Consider the following 12,415-nt stretch of genomic DNA (forward strand, 5'->3'; position numbering starts at 1 on the left):
GGAATTTTACAGCTGGGCTGCCGGGGGTGACATCATATATCGGTAGGACCATGATGCCCACCTGAGCTGCAAAACTAGCAAGTTTTTATTAAGGATTTCAAAAGGGGAGGGGGTGTAAGAACAGGGAGTAGGTACAAAGATCACATGCTTCAAAGAGCAAAAGGCAGAACAGAGATCACATGCTTCTGAGGAAACAGGACAAGGGCAAAATCAGAACTCCTGATAAGGGTCTGTGTTCAGCAGTGCACGTATTGTCTTGATAAACATCTTAACAGAAAACAGGGTTCGAGAGCAGAAAACTGGTCTGACCAAAAATTTACCAGGATGGAGTTTCCCAATCCTAGTAAGCCTGAGTGTACTGCAGGAGACCAGGGCATATCTCAGTCATTATCTCAACCGCATAGGACAGACATTCCCAGAGCAGCTGTTTATAGACCTCCCCCCAGGAATGAATTCCTTTCCCAGAGTATTAATATCAATATTCCTTCCTAGGAAAAGAATTTAGCAATATCTCTCCTACTTGCAAGTCCATTTATAGGCCCTCTGCAAGAAGAAAAATATGGCTCTTTTTTCCTGACCCCACAGGCAGTCAGACCTTATGGTTGTCTTCTCTTGTTCCATAAAAATCTCTGTTATTATGTTCTTTTTCAAGGTGCACTGATTTCATATTGTTCAAACACACATTTTAAAAACAATTTGTACAGTTAACACAATTATCATAGTGGTCCTCAGGTGACGTACATCCTCAGCTTACAAAGATAACAGGATTAAGAGATTAAAGTAAAGACAGGCATAAGAAATATAAAAAGTATTATTTGGGAACTGACAAATGTCCATGAAATTTTCACAATTCATGTTCCTCTGCCGCAGCTCCAGCCTGTCCCTCCATTCGGGGTCCCTGACTTCCCTCAACACTGGCCAAAATAGTGAAACCCCGTCTCTACTAAAAATACAAAAATTAGCCAGGCATGGTGGCACATGCCTCTAGTCCCAGCTACACAGGAGACTGAGGCAGGAGAATCACTTGAACCTGAGGGACGGAGGTTGCAGTGAGCAGAGGTCGCACCACTGCACTCCAGCCTGGGCAACACAACGAGACTCCATCTCAAAAAAAAAAAAGAGTGGAAAGTTTCATAGGTGAAAGAAACAAGAGAAAAGCTCCCTCATGTAGAGTAAGGAGTATTCGGAAAAGATTTCCCTCAGCAGCAGAATGCAGTTGGTTTTACAGAGCAGCTTGAGGAGGCAGTGTCTGATTTACACAGGGCCCAGGGGATCGGTTGAACCAGATGTTCCATTTACATAGCCCATGAAGAGGCTGGCCATCCCACCTTAATCTTTTATTATGCAGATGGGGTCTCTACCTGGACGGCGCCATGACACCCACACACTTAGCCACAAAGAAAAGAGAAGAGAAAAACCTCCATGCTGGATATACCTGGTGTCCAGCACAGCTGCTGGCAATTACCTATGCAAGCTTCCAGCTTGCTTATCTGTGCTTGCAGCTTGATTTTTCAGGCTGCTTTGTGTTGAAAAGAAATGATTTGGGGGCTGCTTTTTTATTTTATTTATTTATTTATTTGAGACAGAGTTTCATTCTTGTTGCCCAGGCTGGAGTGCAATGGCATGATCTCGGCTCACTGCAACCTCCACCTCACAGGTTCAAGTGATTCTCCTACCTCAGTCTCCCAAGTAGCTGGGATTATAGGAACCTGCCACCCCCAGCTAATTTTTGGTATTTTTAGTAGAGACGGGGTTTCACCATGTTGGCCCAGGTGGTCTCAAACTCCTAACCTCAGGTGATCCACCACCTTGGCCTCCCAAAGTGTTGGAATTACAGGCATGAGCCACCACACTTGACCAACTTTTTTATTTTTTATTAGAAGATAAATCTTACTGAGGACTCCCAAACCCTCACTAACAGCTTAAGTAATTTCTTTTTAACTCCTATATTACAAAGAGAATGGGGTATAAAAAATATGTGAAAGAATTATGGCTAAAAACTTCCCAAATCTGATTTAAAATATTATACTTCCAAGAATTTCAACAAACTCCAAGTAAAGCAAAATAAAATTTGAAAATCCATACCTAGAAAAATTATGGTCAAAATGACATCACATAAAAATAACTCATTAACAGCTTACACTTCTCATCAGAAATCATGGAGACTAAGGACAGCCGATAGCATCTTCAAAGTGTTTAAAGAGATTGTCAACCAGCAGAACTATCCTTATCCAGCAAAACTACCCTTCAAAAATAAAGATGAACTGAAGACATTCCCACATAAACTAAAACTAAAAGAATGTGCTACTAACAGCTCTGCCCTACAATAAATACTAAGGGGGTTTTTGGGCTACAATGAAAGGATATTTGAATATATTCACAAAAAATAAAAAGCACCAGTAAAGATAACTGGATAATATGAATGTATTTTTGTTTGGAACTGTCTTTCTTATAATTGACCCAAAAGACTGTGACAAAATGCAGTATTATAAAGCAGTGTTGAAGGGCTTATAATGTAAGAAGTGATTGCTGACATTAATAATACAAAAGAGAGGGGTTAGAAAAGAAAGTATATTAGAGCAAAGTTAGCATATACTATTGAAATTAAGTTAATATCAACCTGAACAAGATTATTTAAATGTAAGATGCTAATTATAATCTCCAGAAAGACAAATAAGAAAATAATTCAGAAAATAGTAAAGGAAACAGCAAGAGAATTAAAATGCTATACTAAAAAATTATCTATTTAACAGAAAAGGCAGGAATCAAGGACTAGAAAACAAAACAAAGCAAAACAAAAAGACGTATAAAAAATAGCAAATATGACAAATTGAAAGCTTATCTAATCTGTAATTATAATAAATATGAATGGATTAAATACTCCAATCATAAGGTAAAGATAAGCAGAAAATATTTTTGTATGACCCAACTATATACTATCTACAAAACACATACTTTATATTCAAAAACAAACAAGTTGAAAGTAAAATGATCAAAAAGACACACCATTCAAGTACTAAACAAAAGAAGGCCATAGTGGTTGTACTTATGTAAATAAAATGATTGTATGAGAAAGAAACTTTTAGTAGAGACAAAGAAATTGTATTTATTAGGTAAATCTATAAGTAAATATGCATCTAATACATGAAGCAAAATACATTAAGCAAAAACTTCTAGAATTGAAGAGAGAAACTGACAATTAGAATAGTAGTTGGGTTTTCAATACCTTCCTTGTAGTAATGAATAAAATAACTAGGTATGAAATAAATGAGTCTGTAGAATAGCTAAAAAATACCATAAACCAACTAGAGCTAACAGGCATTTACACAACACACTTCTCAACAATGTAGAATACATGTACTTCTCAAGCATGCAGGAAACACTTTCCAGGATACATCAAATGCTAAGGCTAAATAAATTTAAATTGCTTAGAGTCATACAATACATATTCTCTGACAAAAATAGACTTAAATTAGAAATCCATAACAAAATGAAATGTGAGAAATTCACCAATATGTGGAAATTAGACAACACATTCACAAAGAACTTAGGAGTCAATAATAAATCATAATAGAACTCAAAAACATTTTCAAACTTACAATATACTAAAACTTATGGATTGCAACTATAGCAATGCTTACATGGAAATGTATAGCTGTAATATAGAGCAATAAAAAATAAAAAATCTCAAGTTAATAATAAGCAGTAGGAGTAAAACAATAAAAATTGAGTGAAAATAAATGAAATATGGAATAGAAAAGCAATAGAGAATACTAACAAAACCAAAAGTTGATTCATTGAAACGTTTAACAAATTAATAATCTTTAGCTTATGCTGACCAAGAAAAGCAGACTGAAAATACAAATTAATACATTTATAAATAAAAGAGGCTGTATCACTACCAACTTTGCAGAAATAAAACAGATTGTAAGAAAATGTCATAAACAACTGTATGTCAACAAATGAGCTCACTTAAAATGGACAAATTCTTAGAAAGATACAACCAGCTGAAACTGGCTCAAAAGAAATAGAAAATATATATATATACACTATAGAGATCAAAGTAGTGATTTCAAAACTTTCTAAAGGAAAAGTACAAGCCCACAGAGCATCACTAATGAACTCTACCAAATATTTTAAATATCAATACTAATACTTTATAAAATCCTCCATAAAATGAGAGGAAGAAACACATCCCAACTTATCCTATGAAGTATTTCTTGATACCAAAGCCAGAAAAAGACATTACAATAAATGAAAACTACAGACTAATGTCCTTTCTGACTATACACGCAAAAATATTCAACAAAATACTAAAAAACTGAGCCCAGCAACATAAGAGAATTTCATGCTAAGACTACACGGAATTTATCGCAGCAATTCAACATTGGATTAACACCCAAAAATGAGTCAATATAATACACCATATTAATAGAATAAAGGACAAAAACAATATAATCTTCTCAACCGATGAGAAAAAAAAGACATTTTTTAAAATCCAAAATACTTTAATGATAAAAAACATATTAAAAATTATGAATAAAAGGGAACTTCCTCATCCTGATAAAGGGTATCTGATCAAAATCCACATATAACATCACATTAGGTGGAGAAAGATTGAATAATTTCCCACTCAGATCAGGAAAAATGCAATAATAACCACCTTTGCCCTTTCTATTCAACATTGTGCTGAAACATCCAGTATTCAACTGGATACCAATGTATGGTGGTAGGACTAGCCAAGGTGATTACACAAGAAAATAATTTTTAAAATTCTGTGAGAAAAGGAAGAAGTAAAGCTATTTTTCTTTAAAGATGCCAGGATCCTTTATATAGAAAATCCTAACACATCTACTAAAAAACTACTGGGACTAATAAGAGCAAGGTTGAGGTTATGAGATCAATATACAAAAATCAATTGCACTTCTATATACTAGCAATGAACAATTCAAAAATGAAATTAATAAAACTTGTATTTGTAATGGTATTCAAAGAGTAAAATATCTAGGAATAATTTTTTAAAATAAGTTCAAAACTTGTATACTGAATATCACCAACACTGTTGAAAGAAGTTTCAAAGATTAAAATAAATAGAAATGTAAAAGATTGAAATAAATACTACTTCAGTCTCTACTTGTTATTTTATGTTTGTAAATCAAAAAATTAATAATATTGTTAAAATGCTAGTATATCCCAATTTCATCTACAGATTCAATGCAATCCCTATTAAAATTCTAACTAGTCATTTATCAGAAATTGGCAAGCTGATCCTAAAATATATATGCAAATGCAAGGAACCAAAAATAACCAAAACAATCCTGAAAAAGAATAACAAATGGACTCCCACGTTGCCCATTTTTAAAATTACTACAAAGCTATGGGAATCAAGACAGTGTGGTACTGGCATAAAGACATACAGAGAGATCAATGAACTAGAATTGAGAGTACAGAAATAAACCCTCCCCATTTATGGCCAATTGACATTTTACACAGATACCAAGACAATTCGGTTTGAAAATGTTGTCTTTTTAATGTATGGTGGTAGGACAACTGGATACCCACATGCAAAAGAATAAAGGTGGATTCCTTACTTATATCATAATTAATTTACAAACAATTCCTCACAAATAATTAACTTTAAATTAATCATAAATGTGAATGTAAGAGTTAAAATTTTAAAAACCCACAGGATTATCATGATGTTAGATTAGTCAATGGTTTCTTTGATGTGACACCAAAAGCATAAGCAATAAAAGAAATAATAGATAAATTGGATTTCATCAAAACTACGAACTTTTATTATTCATAGGACACAATCAAGAAAGTGAAAATACAATCCACAGAATGGGAGGAAATACATATAAATCACATACATATATGTATACAAAGCAACTTCTATCAAAATCTTTAAAGAACTCTTATAATTCAATAATAAGACAAAAACTGAATTAAAATATAGACAAATTATTTCAATTGCTGTTTTTCCAAAGAAGATAATTTAAACAGCCAAGAAGCATAGGAAAATATGTTCTACATCATTAATCATTAGGGAGATGAAAATTATAACACAAAATTAAATTTAAAAGCCATCCTTACAAATAAAAAATAAATTAAGCAAATGATGCTAATTGAGTATTTATTTGGTAGCATAATGATGCAGGAAGACACTATTCTGGCTGACTTTAAAACAGTGATTTTTGAATGTACATACTCAGTGGGGATATACCCTAAGGAGAGAAGTAATTACCGCATACACACACTTAAACCTCTTTGCTAATAGTATTAACATTATCATTAGGAAATTGTGTGTTTGTGTGATACAAAATAAAGAAAAATCATTATGATGTTTAATTAGTGGAATCTGAAGTATCAGTATGAACTCACAAAGTGAGTTTTGGAAAATTTCTTTATCCACCAAAAAAGCCTAAAAGCAACAATTAACCAGAAGCAGTGAACACCCCGCATGCTCAGAATACTTTCTCTAAATATTATTTCCAACTAAGATAAACCAGAGTTCCTTGGAAAAATTATTCCATATTCTAGAGCTGGGGCAAGTAAAAACGGTACAAAATGGGGCTATAACTTTTTTTTTTTACCATTAGAAAGCAAGAAAAATATCAAATACCGCAAGGTTCATGTTCTAAGTGAGGAAAGCAAAGATCACCTGGTGGCCATCATGCAGGCCATCCAGAGGCAACACTCCTTATCTGAGGAATTCAGAAGTAATTACACTTCCCTATTCTATTATCTAAAGCTGGCACCTGGTTCCAGGCACCTTTCCCAAAAAGGTGTAAGTAATTAGCTTTTCTGTACATCTCCGGAATGAATGCATGTATATTGTAACTCATTGTGCAACCCTTGCTGACATTAAGGCACCAAAATGTCTACTAATGTAATCATTTATTATGATCTATGTGGCTAATATGGTTCAAATTGCCCTTAAGCTCCAACTTTAAGGTCTATAAATATCCCAAAGGAAAAATCCACAGCAGAACACTCAGTCCTTTCCTTCTTAGGCAGCACTCTGCACTCTGCTGCAACATTCTTTAATATAACTTTATTTTTCAAACCTCTACTATTGTCAGTAGATTCTTCTTACCAACCTATGAGTTGACCACTTTCCAATGGCAAGGCTCTGACATCTCCCCGCAAAAAGCACTCATGGCCAGAGTTTAACAAGGTACTCCTGTCCAGATTAGAAAATGTGAGCATTAATGAGGTTAATAACTGCAATGGGTTGTGGCACATCGAACAAGTCTAAATCCAGGAGTTCATAAAGATACAAAAGGAATAACAACAAAGCAAATCGAACTACTTCTCGTTGCTGTTCTTTGAAGGATGCTGAGAAAACAACTCATTATTTTGAAAAAAGAAAGCAATAATTAAGCATTTATCCTGCCTCTCCTATATGAACTATGCCACACAATAATTATATACTGATAAGAGAAAGTTTCTTCTAATAAAAGTCTTCCATCAAATAAACAAGAAAGAAATTATAGAAAGGTGTTAAAGAGAACTAAATATGGCCTGAGAAGGACTCCATAATTCTATATTTGAGTTCTTGTGGACTGACTGTAACCTAACTTAATAAGTAGACAACATTGAAAACCTAGCTTAGGAGTATGCGCCGGTAAAAATCACTGAGTCTTGGCTAATCCTCGCAGCTGTACTTCAACCACTCATACACTGTTGAGTGTTCAAACTGTGTTCAAATAAGGCAACCGTCAACGTGTCACCAATCCAGCTGTTTCTGTAGCTCACTTCCGATTTCTGTACATCTCTTTACTTTTTTTGTCTATAAATTTGTTCTGACCACAAGGCACACCTGGAGTCTCTCTGAATCTGCTGTGCTTCCAGGGGCTGCCTGATTCACAAATTGTTCGTTGCTCAATTAAACTCCTTTAAATTTAATTCAGCTGAAGTTTTTCTTTTAACAAAGGGATATCTGACATTAGCAATTCCCAGTGAATTACTGGATCTAGACAATGATTATCAATGGCTTCTAATATAATTGAAAAAGAAAAATCAGACATTCCTGATGAAAGTCCCCTACAACTATTAAGAAATACTCTTACAAAACTAAATCAGACATCAATTTGATACAAAGTCTCTAGATTTAATCCTAAATTTAGAGAAAATATAATGTGCATAAGAACATGATAAATGATACCAGGTTCCAAATGGATTCCATCCATCTTTCAGTTAACAGATTGCGCAAGTGCTTTCAAAACATTTCCAGAACATAATGATCAAAAGTTCCCAAATTATATTTATAAAACCATCCTACTCTGGATATCAAATTATGGCAAACACAGCACAATGACATGAGTCATAATGAAATATACTAACAATTGTCATTGTAAATGTCCTAAATGATATATTAACAAGCAGTCTTGAAGGACATTAATATTGAAATAGGTGGCCAGCAAATGCCTTACACAATGATCTTCATCATTAGCAGAAAAGGAGCGGATATCACTGTAGCTACTGGACAGCCAATATTTAATAAAATTCAATACCCGTTCTTGACTTTAAAAAAAGTAAGATTCTTAATAAAGTAGCCAAAGATTAAGCCAAAAGCCAGCATTATGCTTGATAGCAAAACACTGAAAGGATCCTTAATAAAATCAAGAGTAAATAAAGTTAGCTCTTCTCCTCACTACTTTTATCATTATTCTGGAGGCCCTAGCCAGTACAAGAAGACAAGGAAAAGAAATATGAGGCATAAAATTTGAAAGGATTTAAAATTATTGTCATTTGCCAAAGACAATAGAACATAGCTAGAAAGCCCGAGTCAGCTGAACACAATTAAGAACTAAAAGAGAACCCAGTAAAGTGGCTGATTATAAAATCAACATATAAAATTCAATAGCTTCCCACTATAAAAAGATCAACCACTTAGAAAACATAATGAGAAAAAGATTGTAATTATAATTGCAACAACGAATAAAAATATAATCGTTAACAAGAATGTGTTAGCACTCTATGAAAAAATTTTTAATTGCTAAAGAATGATAAAAAAGTCATAATGAATGGAAAGATACACTATATTTTGGGGTGAAAAAGTCAATATTATAAAGCTATCAAGAGTCTATAAACCTATAAGGTGTCAAAACTATAAATCTATAAATTTAAATTTATGAGATACTGATATTTTAGAAAGGAAGAGTAGGTAATAGGGACAGACAAGCTGATTTAACAGTAATAAAAAGGTAAACATTAAAGTATATCCAGAATAATTCTGAAGACTTTTTGAAGTATTATAAGGTATAGCAATTCTGAACTTAATATTTGCACATGAATGGAGGACAGACATCAATGAAATGAAAAAGAGAGTCCAAAAATAAGTTAAATGTAGTATAAGATATAATGTTAGGAAAAAGCAATTAGAAAAAGATGGATTAATCAATACATGGTGTTTGGACAAATGGCTAATCCTCTGGAAAGTAATGGAAAATGGATTCCTACTCCAGTCTTCACATCAAAATTATTTCTATATGGATCAAAGGTTTTTAAAAACCTAGAAAATACTGGAATAACCATGAAAGGATTTCAAAAATGATACCACCCAAATTAATTTGTAAATTAAATCCAAGATTCATCAGAAACTGAACAAGATTTTTCCATGAAATTTGACAATCTACTCCTAAAATTCTTACAAAGTAAAATATGTTTGTCTTAGAAAGTAAAACAAATTCTTACGAAGTAAATGGTATGCAACATTTTAATGAAGAAAAAAGATAGACCCATTTGCCCTACCTCACAATGAAAATAAAATGCACGCCCTCTATTCATTTCTTTAAAAGCAAATATTTATCAAGTGTAACCAAGTACCTGCATTTTTCTAAGAGAGAGTTTAACTATTTTTATGAATATTTTCTCTTTTCTTTCCCTCTCCCTTTTCCCCCTGTTCTCTGCTTCCTACTTAGCCGTTTAGAAATGTAAATACAACTTTTCACCTCCCACTCATCAGATATTCCTTACAGGGCAAGTTCATCCATGTGCTCAAAGAGGGATCTCTCCTCCAGAATTGACAGTTGATTTGCAAACCAAAGCCTGCCACCATGAACCCTCACCTCCAGGGGGTCACCTCAACAGAGCATGTCAAAAGTATGCCCATTTGGCCACTTTTACAATTTACTTCTGCCCAGGAAGATGCCAACTCAACTGCCTGGTAAATGAGGCACCCAGACAGCAGGGAGGATCCTGCCCTTGCTCATTTCCTCCTCTACCTTATAAAAATGACCACTCTCTACTCCAAAAGTGAAGCCATACTGCTTCTTCCCCAAGCTAGCTCTGGAATAAATTCACTTGCTTTGTAAATAGCCTTGCTCTTGTTAACTGGACTCTGCATGCAGTGAGCAACTAACCTGCTTTTTGGTTACATAAGTACTGTCTTTATCCTCTCTGACCTTAATTAAACCCTTTGTAAATTAAGGTCAATAAATGTCCCAGTGTAGTTCACTGTTGTTTTATTTCGTTTTTCAGTTCTGTGTGAGACAAGGATGTCTGTGTAAAACCCCTTTGAAGCACATGTTTTCTGTGCTCGCTGTGGCCTTTGTTGAAGAGTAATTGAAGAGTAACTGCTCACTGTCCCTAGAAAGAGCACACTGATTACTTGTCAGTGGCCTGTTATCTGAGGCAGGGTCCGAGCACATGACCTATTGAATTCCCACTGACTGACGGGAAGTGAAGGACACACCCATTGCCAAAACAGAGTCTTCCTTGTGTAAACACATATTCCCCTGGTTAGGAAGAGCCTGCTCCACAGTGGCTGCCTGGTAGTATTTTTCTCCCAGTGCTTTGTTGACAAATGAACAAGATTTGACACTAACTAGCGGTGAAATATGGCTCCCAGTACTGAGGTGACTGGTCCTCTCTGTTTCGATGACACATATTATTGAAGGCCCCTTCAGGACATTTTACCTCCAAATGAATTTTTTTTGTTGTTAAAGAAAGAGAGAATGCACTGAGCAGATTTATGAGCCCTGCCTGTCTGCCTGGGAAACTAGCTGTTTTGACATAGTCTCCAGAAGATGCCTCGGGTATTGAATTAACTCAACTCCGAGAGGCCATCACACCGGACAGCCAAGCTTTATTCATTTTCCAGCCCCTAACAACACCTGATCCAAGGTGCGTTAGCATCCAAAGGAACTGCTAGGATTGGCTGAACACCTTAGAGGACTCATTCATTTGTTTACTCATTCATATAATCAGTATTTATGAAATGCGTAATATAAACCAGATATTGTCCTAGGTTCTAAAGACACAAAGGTAAGCCAGTCAGGCAAAAACTGCTACCTTCAAGGAGCTCACATTCTAATATGATATACAGTATCACATTTATCATATTTGTGTTATTAATATTCATGTTAGCAGGATTCAAATAAAAAGTAAGTCTACACTTCCGGAGGCCGAGGCCGGTGGATCACTTGAAGTCAGGAGTTCAAGACCAGCCTGACTAACATGGTGAAACCCCTTCTCCACTAAAATTACAAAAATTAGCCAGGTGTCATGGCGGGCACCTGTAATCTCAGCTGCTTGTGAGGCTGAGGCATGAGAATCACTTCAACCTGGGAGGCAGAGGTTGCAGTGAGCCGAGATTGCACCACTGAACTCCAGCCTGGGTGACAGAGAGAGACCATGCCAAAAAAAAAAAAAAAAGCCTAGAGCTCCACAGAGAAGTTGCAACAGGAAGTGGAAACAGAGCAGGCATATGGAAGCAGTGTAGACAATAAACCTATGTGACCTCGTCTTTAATGGGGATGTTTTTCAGGTCGCTTCAGGTCGCCATCTATTGAGTATATAATATTGTGGTACACCAGTGGACAGACCACAATTCTGATTAACTTACAAGTAGAAAGTGGCAGGCTCAAAATAGGACATCAGCCTGTGTGCTTATCCAGTCCCTATTTCCTGTCTGTTTCAGCTCCCTCAAAGTGTTTCACATCATTCCTAATGATACTTCAAATACTAAATGATACTACTAGGAAATCACAACTTTAGTTTAACGTGGCTTTCTATCTTTGATCCATTGTTAAGCTCCCCATAGTAATTTACTCACTTCTTGCTATGCCATTGAATCTTACCAGTAATGTTCTGTTGCAACTATTTTGTATACTCACTTATTGGATAAGGAAACCGAGATTCAGAAAGGTTTGGTCAACCTCATGAGGTCACACAGCCAGAAGGGAATAAACGCATAGGCAGTCCCAGGTCTTCCTGCTTCACATCTTGCATTCTGGACAGTGCTATTAGATGTTGTGCTCTATATAATGCTCTCAGGTGTTACTAGGGGGAGCAGAGATGGTAAGTCATGGTCCTTGTCCTCTATCAATTTATAATCTAGTGTGGAAATAAAGCATCGACAAATAATTGCAAGGCAGGACTATATATTTTTAATGAATAAAACTCT

The sequence above is a fragment of the Homo sapiens genome, chromosome 2 (assembly GCF_000001405.40).
Source record: "Homo sapiens chromosome 2, GRCh38.p14 Primary Assembly".
NCBI lineage: Eukaryota > Metazoa > Chordata > Mammalia > Primates > Hominidae > Homo > Homo sapiens.